Here is a 24,012-nt window from a genome sequence, read left to right on the forward strand (position 1 = left end):
TATACATACACATATACACGTATATGTGTGTGTATATACACACACATATATATATATATTTTTTTTGAAACAGGGTTTCACTCAGTCACACAGGCTAGAGTGCAGTGGTGTGATCTCAGCTCACTGCAGCCTCAATCGCCCATGCTCAAGTGATTCTGCCACCTTAGTGTCCCAAGTGGCTGGGACTCCAGGTGTGCACCACCACACCTGGCTAATTTTTGTTTTTTGGTTTTTTTTTTGAGACGGAGTTTCATTCTTGTTGCCCAGGCTGGAGTGCAATGGCATGATCTTGGCTCACCGCAACCTCCACCTCCCAGATTCGAGTGATTCTCCTGCCTCAGCCTCCCGAGTAGCTGAGATTACAGGCATGTGCCACCACACTCAGCTAAATTTGTATTTTTGGTAGAGGCAGGGTTTCTCCATGTTGGTCAGGCTGGTCTCGAACTCCCAACCTCAGTTGATCCACCCACCTCAGCCTCCCAAAGTGCTGGAATTACAGGCGTGAGCCACGGAACCTGGCACACCTGGCTAATTTTTGTAGAGACTGGGTTTCACCATGTTGCCCAAGCTGGTCTTGAACTCCTGACCTCAAGTGATCCGCCATTTTGGCCTCCCAAAGTGCTGGGATTACAAGTGTGAGCCACTGTGCCCAGCCCCAGAGTTTATTTTTTAAAGCAAAATAATCTGATTCATATTAATTACCAGCTAAACTTCATACTTAAAATACTAAGTTCTTTTCATTATAAAAGCAAATTACATATTTTTCCCATGTTCTTATAAAATATGGTTCTGCTGTATGTAATGAATCTAGGTCAGCATTCACAAAGGCTATCTGAAATTCTTTTGACTTTCAGCCCAATGTAAAGTAAAACCTCAGTTATACATAAATAATTCAAAATTAGAACTTATGATGGAAATGTCAACAAGCCATAACTACTAGATTACTAATGAAGGGTTTCACTAAACTTCCCATGAAATATAACAGATGGCAAAATTTGATAGTTTTCAGAAAATTAAAGCTATCAGAGCTATAAATGAGGAATATATTATATACTAAACTTTATCAAGGCCAAAGCATTAAGGCTGTTAAAGTGATTAAGATATGAAGTAAACATCTCTGGAACATATAAACAGACCACAAACCAAAACATATGTCACTTTATATTTGTTTATAACTCTATGTTTTTTAATAATTATTTTTAAGATGAAAACATTTCTGCACTGTGGCATGCAGTGATTTTTTTTCCACCTCCCTGATTACCATGCAGTCTTCAAACCCTCTCTCAGGCTGGCATTCTTTCATCAAGATTTCTCTCTGAAGTCAACTTGTCATATTTTCAGCAGGCTTTAGTGCTTTGGAGCCTTGCAAAGTTCTTTCCTCTTCTTCCTAACCCAAGCTTCTGCCCTATCCTCAGTTTCCTGTCCTCCCCCTGGCTGGAATAAAGGGACGGCATGCTTTAGTTTCTGCATTGCCTGTTAAACACCAGTCGCACACAAGGTATGGAGCACTGGGCTTGTGTATCTGGACTCCTTTCTGCTAATGCTTGGCCATTGCTTCTAACCGTACTGCGCTAATGGAGTGTCTCTTCTCTTACAACTTGTTGACTCTGCCTACTTCCAGAGAATCCAGCCACTAACCCCAAGGTTCTCAGTCTTGCCCGAACCTATCTGGATTGATTCCTTCCTTCCTTCCTTCCTTCCTTCCTTCCTTCCTTCCTTCCTTCCTTCCTTCCTTCCTTCCTTCCTTCCTTCCTTCCTTCTTTCCCTCCTTCCCTCCCTCCTTCCTTCCTTCCTTTTTTTTTTTTGTCAGAGTTTCACTCTTGTTGCCCAGGCTGGAGTGCAATGGGGCAATCTTGGCTCACTGCAACCTCCGCCTCCCGGGTTCAAGCATTCTCCTGCCTCAGCCTCCTCAGTAGCTGGGATTACAGGCATGTGCCACCACGCCCAGCTAATTTTTTTTTTTATTTTTAGTAGAGACAGGGTTTCTCGGTGTTGGTCAGGCTGGTCTCGAACTCCCGACCTCAGGTGATCTGCCCGCCTCGGCCTCCCAAGGTGCTGGGATTACAGGCGTGAGCCACCATGCCCAGCCTATCTGGATTTCTATCATTTCCCCACATGGATTTCTACCACCAACAGGGGTAAGGTGTAGACACCAGCATCTGAACTCCTTTCTCTAATCTATCGTCTTATCTCTCCTATTCTCTCCCTAAACTGAAAATTTCCCTACACTTTCCTTTTTTAACTAGAAGGCTGTTCCTACATTGTCTCCTACTTCTGTGCAAGGTGGCATTTGCCCTTTCTCTTCCCTGGGGCCATAATGGTAGAATGGTGGCAGAGAAGCACAATTTATGGGAGGAATAAAAAACACATCATTCTGGATTTTTTAGATAGTTTTCATTATGCTATGATAAACAGTATCTAATGTTGCTGATAACATTACAGCACTTCCTTGTCTGTTACCTCCCTATCATCGTGTTACAACATGATGGTTGAGTTTCCAGAAAACAGACGCTGAGATGATGGAAATTTGCACACTAGAAGTTCCTGGGAGCGAGCGTTCTCAGGAACAGTGTCTATGAGGGAGGGAAAGAAACAAGACTGGGCAGAGGGAGTGGTAGGACTGTTATGTCAAAGGGCTCAGAAGGAGCTCTGGACTGAGATAGCCCATCTCAGAAGGAGCTCTGGACTGAGATCGTTTTCATATTTTCCCCAGATTGAGGCAAGAGGGCCTGCCCTTCATAGCCCTGCACTGGATATGGGCCTCTTACTGGGAAGGGCCTGTGACATTGGCCTTCAGCTGCAAGTAATTCTCTAGGAGGATTAAGCTGAGAACCCTTAGCTGAAAACCCCAGGTAGCTGGAGAATGAGTGTCGCAGTCCTGAAGGGGGACCTAGGGGACACAACACAGAATCCACTGTACATTACCAAAAGTGAAGTTAACTTCCTGCCTGTCATTGCATTTTATGCACGGGGACCCGGGGCTCAGGGAGATTAACTAATTAGATCAAGGTTCCAGATCAAATACCTGATGTATGTATTTTATGTCATTTGGCCTTCCAAATAATTTGATCAGGTGTAGCTTAATAACTTTCTTTTAAAGACAAGGCTACTGAGATTCAAAAAGCTTAAATGATTTCTGCAGGTCTTCAAGGCCAGCCAGTGGTGGAGGTAAGATCCATATCTGCCAATTGCACGTCTGTGCTTTTTGTATCTCACACACTGAGTTGATGTTGCCTAAATCGCTTGGATTAAATAAATTTTAGGACTGGAAGAGACCTCAGAAAACAGTGCAACCCACTTACTATTCAAAGAAATAAAGTAACTTGGTAAATTGTTCAAGGAAATGAGGCTGCTAATAACCTCTGTGCCTCAGTTTTCTTATCAGTTAAAATGGGATGAGCCACCCACCTACAGAGGGATTTTAAGACTCAAATGAGATGGCCGGGTGCGGTGGCTCACGCCTGTAATCCCAGCACTTTGGGAGGCCAAGTCGGGTGGAATCACGACGTCAGGAGTTCAAGACCAGCCTGGCGAAGATGGTGAAACCCCGCCTCTACTAAAAATACAAAAAATTAGCCAGGCGTGGTGGCGGGCGCCTGTAATCCCAGCTGCTCCTGAGGCTGAGGCAGAGAATTGCTTGAACCTGGAGGGACAGAGATTGTAGCACTGCACTCCAGCCTGGGTGACAGAGCAAGACTCTGTCGCAAAAAAAAAAAAAAAAAGACTCAAATGAGATAATAGATGCAACATAAACTTGAAACTTATTAAAATGGTACAGGATGGTCAGTATTTTGCCATTTAGATACGGAGTAAGAAGGACTTCCAACTGTTAACAACAGCAGTGTCAGGCTTGTACACTACAGTGTCACATTTTAAGTTTTGGGGGTGCTTGCACAGAAAATGTTTTTGACTTAATAAATGATTTTATTAAATTCAATTTCCTATGAAAGGTGAACAAGTTTCCATGGGATTTGTGGGGAACACAAAACTTGCTTTCTGAAAAGTTTGGATTAGCAGTTAGAGCCTAAGAGGCTTTTGCTGTGAATAATTCTGACTGATACTCAGAATTCATAATCACGTAACTTCCTATTCTCAGATAAATAAAATAACACAGCTCAGTCTGCTTTGGTGTAAAGGAAACACCGAAGTTCCTTCCTCTGAACTTTGGAACTGTTTGTGACATAAAAACAAAAGGTCCAAAATACTTTTGTCCTTTCCTTTGTCATGCAGGCTGAGTTCCTAAAACATCATAATTTAACAAAGTTAAAGTATTTGCTTTCTTTTTCTACCAACATCACAACTTCTGCTGTATTGAGTCCTTAGCACAGAGTTTGGGTTTTAAGAGAATCTACAGATTAGTTGTTTGGATGTTTCTCTTATGGAAAACTCATGAGTAAATTTATATTCCATGCTTTTAACATCACAAAATAGAAAGCTCTAGTCAATTTGTTGTTCATAACACCACCACCACTGCCACTATCTTTTCAAAGGATGAATTAGTCATCTTTGTTGCATGACAAATCACCCCAAACTTAAAACAATAATAATTCTCTTTCACAGTTTCTCTGGGTCAGGAGTATGGAGCAGTTTGGATGGGTGTTGTGGTTGGGGGTCTCTTGCGAGGTTGTAGTCAGATGTCAGCTGAAGCCTTTTGAATGCTTGACTGAGGCTGGAGGAACCACGGTCAAGGGGGCTCACTCACTTGGCTGTTAGGATGGTGCTGGCTGTTGGTGGAAGATCTCTGTTCCTTTCCACATGAATTCTCCAGGGCTGCTTGAGTGTCCCCAGAGTACCGCAACTGGCTTCACCCAGGGTGAGCAATCCAAGACAAGATGGAAGCTGCAATGCCCTTATGGGCTAGCCTTAGAAGCTACCCATTGGTAACTCTATTGGTAGTTCAGAGCAGCTCTCAGCCCTGATTCATTGAAGGAGGAGACTACACAAAGAGATAAATACAAGGAGATGAGGATCATTAGGGACTAACTTGAAGGAGGAGGAGTAGGCTGATGTGTGAATTTTACTCATTTCAGTGTTCATGAATCAAGTATGTACAGTGAGAGAGATCTGACAGCACTCCCTGCCTTCCCCCGAAGGAGGAGAAATGTCATGAAGCTAAGAGAGACTCAACATGGAAAATCCAAACCCTCCGAGGACATTTACATAGCATGCAGAGGGCTGAATGGTCCATCTGGGTGCCTCTTCATCCTCTGAAACCAGGCAGATCAACTCTCGGAATCCTGAGCCATGTTCCCAAATGGTTCTGTGATTTAAAGGCAAGTAGGCGCAGCCAGAAATAGGAAATACCATGTCCCATGCACTCGTGGGAGAAACTCTTCCCTCTTACTTCATATCTCAACTCTGCCAGAGTCATCATGCTATGAGTGTATCTTTTTTGGTTTCTTAGACAAAGTCTCACTCTGTCACCTGGGCCAGAGTGCAATGGTGCAATCATAGCTCACTGCAGCCTCGAACTCCTGGGCTCAAGTAATCCTCACACCTCAGCCTCCTGAGTAGCTGGGAATACAGATGCATGTCACTTAGCCTGGCTAATTTTTTTTTTTATTTTTTGTAGAGACAGGGTCTCGCTTTGTTGCCCAGGCTGATGTCAAACTCCTGGGCTCAAGCGATCCTCCCACCTCAGCCTCCCAAAGTGCTGGGATTACAGACATCAGATACCACGTCTGGCCCTAAAGGACTATTTAAAAACTACAGTAAAATTTTTTTATCCAGGTCAGTGGATAAATATAGAAGCCTACAAACGGCGGGTGGGGAGGGCAGGGGGAAAGCATATTCAGCAACTCTGAAGCATTCTCTGATTTGGATCATCTTTAGTAACAACTGTAATGACCTTTCTTGACACTCAAGGTGGGAAATACAAAATTCAGAGGGAAAAATGTAAAAGCAATCCTATAAATCATTTAGTGTGAATTTGGTTTAAATTTATTCAACGTCAGAGAAGTTTCATTATTAATATAGTCAAAAGAGTATGTCCTAGCTTCAGATCTTTTCTGTTTATAAAGAATATTCCTCATATTCCTATTTGTAAGAAAAATGTAATCTCAAATTGTATGCATAATCTTTCCAGATTCAACCATCAGTAACTTTTTTGGAATGCCCAATAAAGATCGAAATAAGAAAGGCCTGAGAAAATTATATTTTGCCAGAAACATTTAGGTTCCTCTCTCACTTACTATACATGTCATTTCCTCTGTAACATGGACATACTTGGTGAACTTTTCATGACTCATACAACTTTCTTCATGGTCAAGATGACCTGGTCCTACACCTCTCAAAGTAATAAGCATAAACTGATAAGACCCTTAGTCTTTTAAAAAAAGAATACACCATTTATGTTTGACTAAAGATGTACATTTATTATTATTTTTATGTGGCTTCTTTATTTGTCATGCATACTACGGATTGATTCCACCCTTAGCCCTCACCCCACCAATGGTTTCTATCACCTAGGGAATTGAGGTTTGACTTCTTTAAAAGGTTGATGCCCTGCAAAATGTATCCACATATGTCTTCTCACTATATACACTGCTAACTGTAGGGCAATAAAAATTATTATGAATATGTAATATGTAAACTATAATTAAATATACTTCAATTTTTCAAGATCACAGATTTGCATTACAAGTGATCACAACTAAACACAATATATCTAGATGCCCATTTACAAGTCCACATGACAGTACAAGTAAAAAGATGATGTAGACGTTGGTGGCATTCTGCTTAGGGTTCTTTGGTTCAAACTGGGAAGGAGGTGAATTCTCTCCAATACCCACACCTCAGGTGTTCAGTGACATGGTACTGTCTGCTGGCTTCCTGGGATACTGAACTGCCTGTTGAATGGAAAATTGAATGAAGAGAACTCCAAGGGTAGTTCATTAAAAAAAAATTTTTTTTTCCATAGGTTTTTGGGGAACAGGTGGTAATTGGTTCCATTAGTAAGTTATTTAGTGGTGATTTGCAAGATTTTGGTGCACCCATCACCTGAGCAGTATACGCTGAACCCGATTTGTAGTCTTTTATCCCTCACTCCCTTCTCACCCTTTCCCCCTGAGTCCCCAAAGTCTGTTGTGTTATTCTTATGCCTTTGCATCTTCATGGCTTAGCTCCCTCCTATGAGTGAGAACATACGATGTTTGGTTTTCCATTCCTGAGTTACTTCACTTAGGTTAGTAGTCTCCAATTCCATCCAGGTTGCTGCAAATGCCATTAATTCATTCCTTTTTATGGCTGAATAGTATTCTATTGTGTATATATACCACAGTTTCTTTGTCCACTCATTTATTGATGGGCATTTGGGTTGGTTCCACATTTTTACAACTGCGAATTGTTCTTCTATAAACATGCATGTGCAAGTATCTTTTTCATATAATGACTTATTTTCCTTTGGGTAGATATATCCAGGGGCAGTTCATTTCTTTCCTTCCTTCCTTTCTTCTTTCTTTCTTTCTTTTTTGAGACGGAGTTTTGCTCTTGTTGCCCAGGCTGGAGTGTAATGGCATGATCTCAGCTCACTGCAACCTCTCCCTCCTGGGTTCAAGTGATTTTCCTGCCTCAGCCTCCAGAGTAGCTGGGATTACAGGCATGTGCCACCATGCCCGGCTAATTTTGTATTTTTAGTAGAGACAGGGTTTCTCCATGCTGGTCAGGCTGGTCTCGAACTCCCGACCTCAGGTGATTCGGCCTCCCAAAGTGCTGGGATTACAGGCATGAGCCACCACACCCAGCTATCCAGGGGTAGTTCATTTCTAAATGAGGACCCCAGTTAGCAGACTTTTGCATCATTCAGGTAGAGATTATAGTGGCCTAGATTAGCATGGCGGTGGTAATGGTGGTGATAATGGTGGTAGAGATGGAGAAGAGTGCAAGAACTTGGGATAGAGTTTGGAGTAGTATGGATAAAATGTTCTGATGAAGGCTGGGCGTGGTGGCTCATGCCTGTAATCCTGGCACTTTGGGAGGCTGAGGTGGGCAGATCACAAGATCAGGAGATCAAGATCATCCTGGCTAACACAGTGAAACCCCATCTCTACTAAAAATACAAAAAATGAGCCAGGTGTGGTGCCACGCGCCTGTAGTCCCAGCATTTTGGGAGGCTAAGGAGGGTGGATCACAAGGTCAGGAGTTTGAGACCAGCCCTGGCCAATATGGTGAATCCCCATCTCTACAAAAAAAAAAAAAAAAAAAAAAAAAAAAAAAAAAAAAAAAAAATTAGTGGGGCATGGTGGTGCATGCCTGTATTCCCAGCTGCTCAGGAGGCTGAGGGAGGAGAATCGCTTGAACCAGGGAGGAGGAGGTTGCAGTGAGCTGAGATCATGCCACTGCACTCCAGCCTGGGTGACAGAGCAAGAGTCTGTCTCAAAAAAAAAAAAAAAAAGTTTTGATGAATTAGATCTAGGGGTTGAGGAAAAGAAGGAATCAAGGACATTCTTTAGGCTATATGCCTAAGCTGCTAGGTGAGTAGCGAGTGGAGAGGAGGCCGGGTGTGGTGGCTCATGCCTGTAATTCCAGCACTTTGGGGGGCCGAGGCGGGCAGATCACCTGAAGTCGGGAGTTTGGGACCAGCCTGACCAACATGGAGAAACTCTGTCTCTATTAAAAACACAAAATTAGCCGGGCCTGGTGGCGCTTGCCTGTAATCCCAGCTTCCCGGGAGGCTGAGGCAGGTGAATTGCTTGAACCTAGGGGGCAGAGGTTGCCATGAGCCGAGGTCGCGCCATTGCACTCCAGTCTGGGCAACTAAGAGTGAAACTCCATCTCAAAAAAAAAAAAAAAAAAAAAAAAAAAAAGTGAAAGGAACAGACTTTGAGTATTAGAGAGGTGGATATTAGAGTTATGTTTTAGACACAACATATTTAGGATACCTATTAGCCATCAAACTGAAGATAGAGATTAGAGTTAGAATTTGGGGCTGAAGGGTCACATATATTGAGCATGTAGACCTCTCAGCACACACTCAGATCCTTTGATAAGATGCACCCCCATAGGTGTACCTTCACATTCACCAATACTCCTGCCCCACCCTCCCAAAGTGTCGGGATTACAGGCATGAGCCACTGCATCCAGCTATGCCAGTTTCAAAAGACTCTGTGATGTTGTCTAGAACTACTTCCAGATATGTTATGAAATCCCAAAACAAGCTAACAAGATTTTAAAAAGAAACCTAGGCTGGACACAGTGGCTCACACCTGTAATCTTAGCACTTTGGGAGGCTGAGGTGGTAGGATTGCTTGAGGCCAGGAGTTCAAGACCAACTTGGCCACCATAGCGAGACTCTGTCTCAAAAAATTAGTTAATTAATTAATAAATAAGTAAATATGAAAAAAGAGGCCTTCCAATTAATTTGATTTCACTTTAATCTTGGAGCCTTTAACACACTCTTGGAAGGAGGAAGGGCATCTTTAACTCAAATAATAATATTGTTTAAATAGGTTTGGGCATCACAGAGCCATGGGGTAAAATGGTAGAAACCCCATTTACTGTTCTTGACCTTAAATGAAACTATTGTGAGATTTAAAGGAAGGACCAAAGAATCAAAGGGCTAGGTTTCTTCTAGCCCTAGTTCCGCCACTTTCCCACTGGGTAACCTATATATACTACAAGTCCCTGACTATCTCTGAGTTTCCTTTTGTCTTCAAAATGGAAAAGACACCACTGACCTCCCATAGTTGCTTTGAGACTTAAGAGAGATAATGAATGTGAGTGCACCCTGTGAATGCACAAACATAAAACATTTTTAAAACCTTTGTGAAAGGATGTGTGTTTTGGGATAGGTGCTACCTGTTAAATAAAATATTTTACTACATTTTAAGAATAAATATATACTTGAAAATATCCTTTTTGCCTTTACATTTTAAATTGAGCATTAATAGAGGAACTCTTTGGAATAGAATTATAGAGGGGAAACGATCTAAAAATCATGGATCATGGAAAAGTGACTTTTTAGGACAGATTAATTTATTAAAGAATATATGAAATGTATATACTAAATGATAATTTATTGGACAAAGATGAAAAGTATTCTCAAAATGAAAATCAAAGGAGTCCGAGCATTCTGTGAATTGATAAATCTTAGAGTGTCTTATTAAATGACAGGAAAGCCAACAACCATATACTTTATATTGGCCTGTTTTTTTGGTTTGTTTTTTGTTTGTTTGTTTGTTTTTTGTTTTTTGTTTTTTTTAGATGGAATCTCACTCTGTCACTAGGTTGGACTGCAGTGGTGTGATCTCGGCTCACGGCAACCTCCGCCTCCCGAGTTCAAGCAATTCTCCTGCCTCAGCCTCCGAGTAGCTGGGACTACAGGTGCACGCCACCAAGCCCGGATAATTTTTGTATTTTTAGTAGAGACAGGGTTTCACCATGTTGGCCAGGATGGTCTTTATCTGTTGACATCGTGATCTGCCTGCCTTGGCCTCCCAAAGTGCTGGGATTACAGGCGTGAGCCACCACGCCTGGCCGGGATTTTTTTTATTTTTTTTATTTTTTTTATTTTTTTTATGATATGGGTAAGACAGTCTGAAAACAATGTGAGTACTTTCATCAACTAATGCAGGTAATGAACTTGACTTAATGTAAGTAAAGTGGCTCAGTGGCCACACTTCCAGGTCTTCTTGCTCTCTGTAGCTTTTGCTCTGCTTTAGACAACACAGTGCCTTTGCTCACAGACTGGCCCAAACCAGTTTTTATTTCTTCCCACTGGTGCACCTTTTTCCCATTCCAGCATCAGTTCATGTGTGTGTGATATGTTATTAGAGGTGTGGTTTATGCTGACAGACAATATAAACTGATAAAATTTATCAAAGAACTCATGTTCCCAACCTTGCATCTATACAGATTAGTGAATTGATTTAAGTTAAAGATAAAATGTTGGATGAACACATCTACACAGATTGGTGCATTGATTTAAGATAAAATGTTGGATGTATATGCCATTTTAAAACATGACCCTTTACTTTAAGTGAATTATTTTTGGTAATTGAGCAACTCCCGGTCCTGATTGTGTCAATAATGAAGGCTGCTCCAGCCTGGGCAACACAGTGAGACCCTGTCTCTACAAATTATTTATTTTTATTTATTTATTTATTTTTTGAGACGGAGTCTTGCTCTGTCGCCCAGGCTGGAGTGCAGTGGCACGATCTCGGCTCACTGCAAGCTCCGCCTCCCGGGTTCACGCCATTCTCCTGCCTCAGCCTCCCGAGTAGCTGGGACTACAGACGCCTGCCACCACGCCCAGCCAATTTTTGTATTCTTTAGTAGAGATGGGGTTTCTCCATGTTGGTCAGGCTGGTCTTGAACTCCCGACCTCAGGTGATCCACCTGCCTTGGCCTCCCAAGTGCTGGGATTACAGGTGTAAGCCACTGCACCTGGCCTACAAAAATTTTTAAAAATGAGCCAGGCATTGTGGGCATGCCTGTAGTCTCAGCTACTTTGGCGGCTGAGGCACGAGGGTTGCTTGAGCCCAAGAGGTTGAGGCTGCAGCGAGCCGTGTTTGTGCCACTGAACTCCAGCCTGGGTGACAGAGCAAGATCCTGTCTCAAAAAAAAAAAAAAAAAAAAAAGAATACTGCCATCTGTTTCCCCAGACGGCAGATCTAGGACTGATGATTTGAATCACAGACAGATGCTGGCTCAGTGTAAATTTCTGATGGTCAGAGCTGTCCAAAAAATACTTCCTTGGTTGATAATCCTGAGGTCAGGAGGTTTTTGTCAGAGGCAGATAGATATTTGTTAGGGATGTTCATTCATCTACTCACCTATTCATTGACCTATTCATCAGAAGTGTATTGAGCACCAACTATATCCTCAATATATAGTTGATACAATGGGGCATTCCGTGGTGTGATTTACAAGGGGATACAAATTCATGGAGCTTAGTCTAGAAGACAGAGGTTTGGATGATGGTAGGGAAGAGGCAAAGAAGAGCCTGAACACAATGTCCTGTTTTACTCCTCAGAGTATTATAGGGTTTCACCTGGGAGCTTGTTAGAAGTACAGAATTTCTGGTTCCACCTGAATCAAAATCTACATTTCTAACAAAATCTCAGGGTGGTTTTGTGTTTTAAAAACACTGTTCTAGGTTTCTTTCTAAACCCAATATTACATTTTTCTGTGACTCTATATCCTTCCATGCCAATAATGAAAGATCCTGGAAGAAGTAAGTGGCTTTATGAGGCTTACAGCTGTGGAGTGTCTTCTCAACAAGGGGCCAGATTCTCAAGAAGTCACCTCAGTTTAGACCTAAGTTTCCAGGCCAGTCTAGAAAAAGTCTTAAGATACTTAATGTCTTTTTCCTAGATTATTCTATTGGCAGCCTCGGTGCTACATCTCTAGTTTCCCTTCACTAGTCCAGCATCTGCCTAACTTTTAGATTCCACAAATAGTTAACAATTAAATCAAGCAAGAAGGAAAATCTTATTTACACCTGAGTCAATTTCAATCTCTCAGATATTTTTTCACATATTGTAGGAAACCTCGATTTTCCTTAAACATAAAATCAACTACACACACACACACACACACACACACACACACACCCCAGAATGTGGCCTCTTCTGCTGGAACATCTCTGATTTCTGCCATTAGGATAAATAATTTTAGCAAGGACTTTTGTGATCCGCCCCTACACCAATTCCTGGAGCCCCCTCATCCCATCTAAAGCAGGTGGCCTATTATTCTCTCTCAAAGTTGTATGTTTAATTCCTTCCTGGTACTTCATTAATCATCTCGGTGATTTTCTTGGGTTTTTTTTGTTTGTTTGTTTTTTCTTAACTTGTTTACTGTCTCTTTTTTCCTACTGGGTTGTATGTCTGTGAGGGCAGAGACCCTGCCTTATTTTCCATAGCACAGTGCCTAGCACTCAGTAGCCTTAAAATAAATATTTGTTGAATGAATTAATTAATATAGTAAAGTCATTTTTTTTACTTGAAAGTTTTACTTGCCTCATGTGAAGTTATGGACAATTACAATTCACAGGAATTTTTCACAGAAATAACATAGAATGGCTTCAAACTTTGATTGCTAAAGGTAATTGAGGAAAAGAATGAAGATGATACATTTTCTTTTTTAGGGCTGGAATATCTGTTTTGTCAACTGTAATTACTTACAGTTATGCTGCAGTGTAGCTTTTTCCTCTTAAGTAGATGACATCGTCTTATTACAATCTTTTTTTTTTTTAAATCTCTAACAGTGTTGTTAATCAAACACAAGACCCATAAAGTGAATTTGGGGTCATCTTGTCCTTTACTGGTTTCCTGATTGGGAGGCTCACCCTTGGCTTATGATCACATCCATTTGGCAGAAAGTCAGCTTATTTGACAGGTAAGGACATCAATATGTCTCTTTTCTTGGTAGAATTGATCCCCCTTCACCAGAAATACAGTATAAATGGATGTGATGTGTCAAACCTGCAGATGCTGTTTTTCCTAATTCCCTCAATGCTCCCCTAGCTCATGTCTGAGGAATTGAATGAATAACATAGGGGAGGTTAGCGCCCAATATGACATCAGCTCAATAAGCTGATCAGCCTGAAGCTGAACTTGGCTGGCAGAGCTTGTTTTCCTTCCCCTGCTTCACTAAGTTATAGGTTTTACAGGAATAAGGATGTTGTCTTCTTCCTTTGCAATTTTGCAAACATATATGCCAACTGCCTAACTGATTGATAATATTACTAACTATATACTTATGAAGTGGTTTGGACTTTATGGAAGACTATTTTAGGTAATATAAATTCTTTAGGATGCAAACACAATTTTCTTAACCCAAAAGACAAAAATTCCCATCTTCTTCGTTGAGAAACACTAAGTAATGCATGATAATTACAACCAATAAGATATTGCTGAGTGCATAGTCTATGCTAGGCATTGCTCTAAATAATTCAGTATAGTCTCTTTTCCTACCATAGCACGCCAGCCATTGAAATGTATATAGAAGAACTAATGTAGTGAATGGGCCGTGTTAAATAATTTTATTGTTTGTTTATTAACACATTTAACAGAGAAGTCTGGCTTCACCTTCCTTTTCTTTACTTCTTAGGGTTGGAAACAATGCCATGTGAGCAGAAGAGAAATTGCTTTCATCCCTTTTTCTACCTGATGGTCTTATATTATGATATGGTTTGGCTGTGCGCCCACCCAAATCTCATCTTGAATTGTAGTTCCCATAATCCCCGTATGTCATGGGTGAGACCTCATGGGAGGTAAATAAATTATGGAAGTGGTTCCCCCATGCTGTTCTCATGATAGTGAGTGAGTTCTCATGAGATCTGAATGGTTTTATAAGTGGTTTTTCCCCGCTTTGCTCTGCACTTCTCTCTCCTGCCACCATGTGAAGAAGGATGTGTTTGCTTCCCCTTCTGCCCTGATTGTAAGTTTCTGGAGGCCTCCCAAGCCATGCGGAACTGTGAGTCAATGAAACCTCTTTCCTTTATAAATTACCCAGTCTCAGGCCAGGCACAGTGGCTCACGCCTGTAATCCCAGCACTTGGGGAGGCTGAGGTGGGCGGATTGCCTGAGGTCAGGAGTTCGAGACCAGTCTGGCTAACATGGTGAAATCCCGTCTCTACTAAAAATACAGAATTAGCCAGGCATGATGGCGTGTGCCTGTAATGCCAGATACTTGGGAGGCTGAGGCAGGGGAATTGCTTGAACCAGGGAGGTGGAGGTTGCAGTGGGCCAAGGTCACGCCACTGTACTCCAGTCTGGGCGACAGAGCAAGACTCCATCTCAAAAATAAATAAATAAATAAATAAATAAATAAATAAATAACCTAGTCTCTGGTATTTCTTCATAGCAGTTTGAGAATGGACTAATACATATTATAATATCCTTATTTTCCTGATGAAGAAGTTGAGGTTCAGAGAAGTTAAGGTCCCATGGGTAGTAAATGTTTAAGTCAGGCTTATATGGTAATTTATCTAATTCCAGAGTCCATGGTCTTGACAAATATACTATAAACTGCCTCTAATGTTTATTAAAGTTTATAATAATTGGCAGTGGCTTTTTAAATTATTTTTGAAGAGTTACCTTTACATTTAAAAAAAATAAAATCAAGGTAATATTTAAAAGAATGTTAAGACAAGAATCTGGAAACATGAGTTCTAACCAGAACCTATCATGAATGAGGGGAAACCTGGAAATTACTTAACTTCTATTCTCAATTAGGTATCCATATAAAAATTTTATTATTTTATTCCAAGGCTCTTATAAACAACTTTACAGAAAAATTAAAAAGTTATCTAGTGGTTCATCTGTACCTTGTCTCTACACATATATTTTTAAAATTTGTTGTAATCACTGTATCAGTGCTATTTTGTGATTGCTTTGTAATTTTTATTTTCTAAATTATGAAAGCCAGAGAATAGTGATTTAGAATAAATTATCATAAAAAAGAACTAATCTAGATAAACAGTGCTATGGCCTGAATTTTTGTGTCCATCCAAAATTTAACCCCCAAGGTGATGGCATTAGGAGGTGGGGCCTTGGGAGGAAATTGGGACATGAGAGCAGGGCCCTCATGAATGGGATTTGTGCCTTTATAAGACACCCCACAGAGCTCCCTTGCTCCTTCCACCATGTGAGGACTCAGCAAAAGATGGCCATCTATAAACCAAGCAGGCCCTCCCCAGGCACAGAATCTACCAGCTCCTTCATCTAAGGCTTCCCAGCCTCTAGACTATGAGAAATAAATTTCTATTGTTTATAAACCACTCCATTTACAGTACTTTATAATAGTAACCCAAACAGACTAAGACGGGAATTTTTAATTCGACTGCACATTAGAAACACCTGGATGGGGATGGTGGGGGTGAGTGGGGGTAATTTTGAAAAAATACGGTCTTTGGCCAGGCACAGTGGCTTATGCCTGTAATCCCAGCACTTTGGGAGGCTGAGGCTGGTGGATCACTTGAGGCCAGGAGCTCGAGACCAGCCTGGCTAACATGGTGAAAGCCCATCTCTACTAAAAATACAAAAATTAAATGGGCTTGGTGGCGTGTGCCTGTAATCCCAGCTACTTGGGAGGCTGAGGTGGGAGAATTGCTTGAACCCAGGAGGCGGAGGCTGCAGTGAGCTGAGATTGTTCCACTGTACTCCAGCCTGGGCGACAGAGCAAGACTCTGTCTCAAAACAGACAAACAAAAAAATGGTCTTGGAGCAATAAACCAATTTTATCAGAATCTCAGGAGTGGGGACTGGACATCAATATTTTTAAAATGCCCCTCTCTCCCATTATTTTAATATGTAGCTGAAGTTTATATTATAGTTATATACTGCAAGTACTTTTGCTCCAGCCTAATAACTGGTCATCTAGAATAGATCATTGTTTATTGCATTATGATCTCTGATAACTGCTCAACTGCCTTCTCAAAAGTCAACTAACTCAGTAATACAGGAGTCTAATGTACCATCAATTATTAATCCCAAACAATACTTCCTTATTCTAATAGTACAAGTTAGGTTCAAAATACTTCTTGTTCAATAACAATTTCAAGTCAGCCATTATAGTTTGTTTAATGGCTATATTAATCTCTGAGTCCTTAATAATTATAGAAGTAGAATGGTTCCCTGAGTACTAGATATTTGTAATGTGAAAGGAAGATAAGGAGCATCTGGCAGTCTGAAAAAAAGTTGGGGTAATCCCAGCACTTTGGGAGGCTGAGGTGGGTGGATCACCTGAGGTCAGGAGTTCAAGACCAGCCAGACTAACAAGGTGAAACCCATCTCTACTAAAAATACAAAAATTAGCTGGGCATGGTGGCAGGTGCCTGTAGTCCCAACTACTCGGGAGGCTGAGACAGGAGAATCGCTTGAACCCGGGAGGTGGGGGTTGCAGTGAGCTGAGATCGCACTACTGCACTCCAGCCTGGGTGATGGAGCAAGACTCTGTCTCAAAAAACAAACAAACAAAAAAGGTGTGGGTTGAGGGTTTGAGTTTTGAAGCTCCCTTTTGAATTCTACGTTGGTTTATTTTGAAATCTTTATTTTAAAAGTAAAACAATGACATAACTTTACGTTTTTTCTCCCAAATTCTTCAGTTCCTAAATGTCAGAAGTTACCTCCACAGTGAAATGGGACCCAGAGATTTTCATTAATTAATCTCCAGGAAATTCAGCAGTAAAACTTAAATTTATATTCAATGATATGGAAACTCTCCTATCACCAGAGGACTTTGAAAGCCATGGTGAATGAGATCCACTTCTAGATCAGGACACAAAGGAGACTCAGCTGTTTGGATGGCTGATTAAAGGAATCATCTGAAATTCCACAGTCATAACATTGGAAAACAGACATGGTTGTAACTTATTTATTTACTTAACCATCTGATCTCAGGCACGAGAGGAAAGAACATTATTATATAATTCACAAATGGGCCTGCAGTTCATTGCACCTGATATATTCGAAAGGCTTATTTGGGCCCATCCTGCTGCCCAAGAAGGCCCACTCTCTGGTCAGAGTGCAGTCATTGGCCATGGCGCCACTGATAGAGGTCAATCTGAGAACCATCTAGGGAATGAGGACCAGGGAAAAGGCTCCCCTAACCCTCCATCTGGTGTGAACTGCCTGCCAGAACACATGGAGAACCCTCCCTCTGGGAGCTGCAGCACTCGAGCAGCAGCAAGGAAAGAAAAAGCCAGGTGTAGCCAGTGTTGCTTAAGGTCTTTCTGCTTGTTTATCACCTTTGGCCTCTTATTTGTAACCCTACTGTGGATAATAGAATTAAATGTAAATAGACACATGCTCTCTTTAGAGAAGAGGTGGTGTCCTCCAACCATTCCTCCTCTTATGTAGATATACTGTGTATCTTTTTGGCTCTGTGCTCCCATCATTTCATTTTTATTTGCCTGTGTTGAGACCTGGTTCCTGGATTTCAAAGTGCTGTCATGAGAGACAGCAAAAGAAAAGACTCCTCATAGGTCAGGATCCTGCTGAAAGAGGGCACTTATGTAATCCGATGGTCTTTTTGGTGGTCACTTTTATTCTCCACTTCAATCTGAAGTAGCCTTTGATGAGAAAGCTGCTGAAAAGCAGGAGAGTGAAAAACCATTTCTAAAACTATGAGGGTACTTTTGTTCTATGTGAAAAGTCTTCACTGAAGGTTAAGGGAGGTCCGAAAAGGCTGAGGAGGAGACCTCCACATTGGAAGTTATGATGGCAATGGCCATTGCTGATTTTGTTGAATTCACTTATTGTAATATACCGTACTGAATCCATACTCATCTACCTATGGCTGGTAAGATAATGTGATTATCCTTCCCATATTCAGAGGGACTGAACCTGATCTTTTATAATGAATAGATACACAAGTCTTGTGCTATATTCCTAATCTAAAGACTTCTAAATATATTCATTCACAGAACTGTTTTTGTTTCATGGATCAGATTTACTTTATATTTCTTTTTTTTTTTTTTTGAGATGGAGTTTCGCTCTTTCACCCAGGCTGGAGTGCAGTGGCATGATCTCGGCTCACTACAACCTCTGCCTCCTGGGTTCAAGCGATTCTCTTGCCTCAGCCTCCCGAGTAGCTGGGACTACTGGTGTGCACCACCACACCTGGCTAATTTTTGTATTTTTGGTAGATATGAGGTTTCACCATGTTGGCCAGGATGGTCTTGATCTCTTGACCTCGTGATCTGCCTGCCTTGGCCTCCCAAAGTGCTGGGATTACAGACATGAGCCACTGTGCCCAGCCTATATTTCTTTTTTAATAGCATACATTTTCCTGCTTTTCTAAAATTATGCACATATATTTATTGTATACTTTTTAAAAGGTAATAAAGGCCAATTTCCTCTACTTGGTGACCTTTATCCTTCAGCACTCATCTCAAGCACTGTCTCCTTTCCAAAGCCTTTGTCATACTCCATAAAGCAGAGTTTGATACTTTCACCTCTAGATGCCCATACAAATGTTTCATTACTCTCTACCACACAAAATTATGTTGCATTATAATTGTCTGTGTACATCTATTTCCTCCACTGGACTGTGAACTCCTTGAGAACAAGGCATATGAATTGTTCATCATTATATTAACAAAAACCTAAACCCAGCACTGGCAAAAAATAGAAGCTCAATAAATGCTAGTTTCTGGGATGAACAGACTGGTTACTGGCAAGAGTGAAAATTAGAATCATAATGTTTTAGAGCTGGGAGAGATTATTGACAATCTAATTCATTCCCTGCATAGCTTTTCATCTAGGTTTCAGCTAGTTAGTACTTCATCTGGGTTTAAAATACAAATCTTAGGAATTCTGGCAAGATGGTAGTAGTAGTGAAATAGTTCTTTAGTTCTTAAATGCCCCATAACCACACCCCTCTCCCATAAAAATAAAACTAGGATAGCTAAGCCAAAGCCTATTGACAAACTCAAAACAAGCGAAGTGAAAAAGTACTGCCATCAACCCCGAAGTATAAGCAGATAGGGACAAAATACCAGTAATAAGACCTGTATAGTATCAGCATTTACATGGGAAGCACTGGGCATCTGACAGATCCAAGCAAAGTAGAATCTCAAAATGACCATTAGATAGAGAGATACTCACTGGAAAGCATAGTTGGCCAACTTGAGAAAAGCAGCTTAACCTGAGAGGAGTTTGTACAAACTCCAATTTGTGGGTAAGTAGAAGGACAATACAGTGATAAGTTCTGAAAGGGATGGAGTAGTCTTGGCCTTGTGAACTCTTGAAATTGACCAGCAGGGCCCGGCGTGGTGGTTCAGGCCTGTAATCCTAGGACTTTGGGAGGCCGAGGTGGGCGGATCATTTGGGGTCAGGAGTTCAAGACCAGCCTGGACAACATGGTGAAACCTTGCCTCTACTAAAAATACAAAAACTAGCCGGGTATGGTGGTGGGCACCTGTAATCCCAGCTACTTGGGAGGCTGAAGCAAGAGAATCACTTGAACCCAGGAGATGGAGGTTGCAGTGAGCCGAGATCATGCCACTGTACTCCAGCCTGGGCGACAAAGTGAGACTCTGTCTCAAAAAATAAACAAACAAACGAACAACAACAACAAAAAAAAAAAAAAAAAAGAAAGAAAGAAATTAACCAGCAGAAGCTTCCTTTCAAGACAAAGTTCCATATTGAGGAAGAACTGCTGGGAGTAGACCAAACTGAGCAGGACAGACAGCCCAGGGAGGGGCAAAGGAAAAAGATTCAGATAGAAGTGAGGGAGAAGAACAGAGCCAGGAGATAAGAAGTCAAAATTGTGAGCAAAGAAGAGAGAGCAGAGATCACATAGTAAGTATTTTAAGCTTTGAGACCTACATGGTCTTTGTCACAATGACTCAACTCTCCCATTTTATCATAAAAGTGGCCACAGATAATATGTAAACAAATAATCACGACTATATTTCTTTTTTTTTTTTTTCTTTGAGACGGAGTCTTGCTCTGTCTCCTAGGCTGAAGTGTAGTGGCGTGATCTTGGCTTACTGCAACCTCTGTCTCCTGAGTCCAAACAATTCTCCTGCCTCAGCCTCCTGAGTAGCTGGGATTACAGGCGTGTGCCACCACGCCTGGCTAGTTTTTGTATTTTTGTAGAGACGGGGTTTCACCACGTTGGCCAGGCTGGTCTTGAACTCCTGACCTCAGGTCATCCACCCGCATCAGCCTCCCAAAGTGCTGGAATTACAGGCGTGACCCACCACGCCCGGCCCTCAGGATTGTATTTCAATAAGACTTAGAAAAGCAGATGATGAGCTGAATTTAGTCCATGAGCCATGGTTTGCTAACACTGCTCTAGAGTCATGAGGTAGAAAAGCTATTCTGACCCACCCTTCCTTCCTAAAAGTTCAGTCTGCCTTCACCTAAAAATCAGCAACAGAAAAACATAGATTTGAATTCTGTACAAACTTTTTATCATAAAAAGATAATGAGGAACAAAGTAATTTTCTTACAGATGAGAGCACACCAAATAAACATGCCCACAAAGCAGGTAAAAGAGGTGAGTGAATATTTCAAAATGACTTTTTAAATTCAGGAAAAAATTAAAATATGTGAAATAATTACACAGATTAGAATTAGAATAACTTAAGAGTGAGCTGACCAAACTCAGGAAGGATTAAAACATCAAGAAGAGGCCGGGCGTGGTGACTCACACCTGTAATGCCAGCACTTTGGGAGGCTGATGCAGGCGGATCATGAGGTCAGGATTTCGAGACCAGCCTGGCCAATATGGTGAAACCCCATCTCTACTAATAAATAAATAAAAAATAAAAAAAAATTACAAATAATAGCTGGGCATGCCGGGCACAGTGGCTCATGCCTGTAATCCCAGCACTTTGGGAGGCTGAGACGGGCAGATCACCTGAGGTTGGGAGTTCGAGACCAGCCTGACCAACATGGACAAACCCTGTCTCTACTAAAAATACAAAATTAGCTGGACATGGTGGCGCATGCCTGCAATCCCAGCTACTTGGGAGGCTGAGGCAGGAGAGTCACTTGAATCCAGGAGGTGGAGGTTGCAGTGAGCCAAGATCGCACCGCTGCACTCCAGCCTGGGCAACAGAATGAGACTTTGTCTCAAAAATAAAATAAAATAAAATAAAAATAAAAAAATAATTTTGCTAATGAAGCCCAAACTTTGAAAGAATGTAAGTACAAATAAATATCAAAAAATTAGAGAGGAGGAAAAATTTAAAAATAGAAGGAAGAGATAAAAAAGATGAGAGAAAGAAACAGATATAGAGGAAGGGCAAAAATGATCTAATATACTTACAGGAAGTTTCCCTGAAAAAGAAACTTTAAGCAATTGAACATATCCAGGAGATTTTATATTCATATACAGATACATAAACAGATTATATTAAAATATGATTAGCTTTAAGGATCAGGGATAGAAGCAAGACCATGCTTGAAAATATCTAGTTTTATACGTTTGATGTTGAGAACCATGAAACATTTTATATAATTATAAAACAAAATTAAGTTTTACAAATTATTTCCTTAAAATCAAAAATAAAATAAGTAATCAAAAGGCGTATCTAATTGGTCTCATAATCACACAGAGAGGAGCTATTCCAAATGACTTTATAAAATAGTAATCTTTTGGACATTAATAATGGACTGTGCCCTGAGGACAAAAAGATCTTCAAATCAGAAAAATCACTAAGTCATTTATAGAGTCATGGTGTTGGTGAAAGTGTTGGTATTATTCTGAGACTGTTAGCTGTGCACTGTAAGATAAAGCAACTGAGTATGTGACTTTTTTTTTTTTTTTTTTTGAGATGGAGTCTAGCTCTGTCACCCAGGCTGGAGTGCAGTGGCATGATCTCGGCTCTCACTGCAGCCTCCACCTCCTGGGCTCAAGTGATTCTCCTACCTTAGCCTCCCAAGTAGCTGGAACTACAGGTGTTTGCCACCATGCCCAGCTAATGTTTTGTATTTTTAGTCGAGACGGGGTTTTGCCATGTTGGCCAGGCTGGTCATGAACTCCTGACCTCAGGTGATCTGCTTGCCTCGGCCTCCCAAAGTGCTGGGATTACAGGTGTGAGCCACCACACCTGGCCATTTATGTGATCTTTTGAGTCTGTCATTCTTGATGTTATTAAGAACTGAGATTCTGAGCATGGAAGGAAAGGAGATACAACCTTTCTTATATTACTGTTGTATCACCTTTCTTATATTACTTATATTATCTCCTTTCTTATATTACCTTTCTTATATTACTGTTGTATCTTCTTTCCTTCCATGCTCAGAATCTCACTTCTCAATAACATCAAGAATGACAGACTCAAAAGATCACATAACTGGCCAGGCGTAATGGCTTACACCTGTAATAACAGCACTTTGGGAGGCTGAGGTGGGCAGATCACCTGAAGTCAGGTGTTTGAGACCATCCTGGCCAACATGGTGAAACCCCATCTCTACTAAAAATACAAAATTTAGCCAGGCATGGTGGCGCACGCCTGTAATCCCAGCTACTCGGGAGGCTGAGGCAGGAGAATCATTTGAAACCAGGATGTGGAGGTTGCAGTGAGCTGAGATCGCGCCACTTCACTCCAGCCTGGGTGAAAGACGAAACTCCATCTCAAAAATAAATAAATAAATAAAAGAAAGAAAGGTTAATTAAAAACCCTATGGTTATTGTGACAGTTAATTTTACGTGTCAACTGAGTGACAGGGTGCCCAGATATTTGGCCAAACATTATTCTGGGTGTTTCTGTGAGGGTTTTTTTTTTAATGAGATTAACATTAAAATCAGTAGACTGAGTAAATCAGCTTGCCTTCCTTAATGTGAGTGGGTCTCATCCAGTTAGTTGAAGGCCAGAACAAAAAGGTAGACCCTTCCCTGAATAATAGAGAATTCTTCCTGCCTGGCATACTTTGAACTAGGACATCGGCTTTTTTCCTGCCTTCTGATTGGAACTGCATCTTTGGCTCTCCTAGGTCTGTAGCGTGCAGACTCACCCTGCAGATCTTGGAACTTGCCTGCCTCCATAATCACATCTTCCAATTTCTTTCTTTTTTTTTTTTTTTGGAGACAGAACCTTATTTTGTCGCCTAGACTGCAGTGCAGTAGCACGATGTCGGCTCACTGCAACCTCTGCCTCCTGGGTTCAAGAGATTCTCGTGCTTCAGCCTCCCAAGTAGCTGGGATTACAGGCATGTGCCGCCATGCCTGGCTAATTTTTGTATTTTAATAGAGACAGAGTTTCTCCATGTTGGCGAGGCTGGTCTCGGGTCTCAAACTCCTGGCCTCAAGTGATCACCTGCCTCGGCCTCCTAAAGTGTTAGGATTACAGGCGTGAGCCACCACTCCCGGCCTAAATCTAAATTTATAAAAATCTAAATGTATAGGTTCGACATTAAGAACCATGAAAAATGTTATATAATTATAAAACAAAATCACTTTTTAAAAAATTTTTCCCTAAAATAAAAAATAAAATAAATCAAAATGTGTATCTAATTGGTCTCATGATCACACGGAGAGGAACTATTCCATGTCACTTTATAATCTAGTAATCTTTTATATATTATAATGAATGTACCCTAAGGACAAATATAC

The 24,012-nt window shown here is 41.1% G+C and overlaps 2 long non-coding RNA genes across 2 annotated transcripts in view; one reads left to right on the plus strand and one right to left on the minus strand.

Moving 5' to 3' along the window:
- Nucleotides 1-4,870: 4,870 nt before the first annotated feature.
- The window catches only part of LOC107984238 (uncharacterized), a 55,035-nt gene continuing 35,893 nt past the window's right edge, over nt 4,871-24,012 (minus strand). The window contains exon 3 of the long non-coding RNA XR_001747468.2: nt 4,871-4,936. This is a non-coding gene — a long non-coding RNA (uncharacterized LOC107984238). The remainder of the gene's footprint in view (nt 4,937-24,012) is intronic.
- On the plus strand, nt 10,478-14,241 carry LOC101929846 (uncharacterized). The gene is made up of 3 exons (XR_946008.3): nt 10,478-10,570; nt 13,205-13,335; nt 14,050-14,241. It is a non-coding gene; the product is annotated as an uncharacterized LOC101929846 (long non-coding RNA).

This window comes from Homo sapiens, chromosome 10, assembly GCF_000001405.40.
Source record: "Homo sapiens chromosome 10, GRCh38.p14 Primary Assembly".
Taxonomy (NCBI): domain Eukaryota; kingdom Metazoa; phylum Chordata; class Mammalia; order Primates; family Hominidae; genus Homo; species Homo sapiens.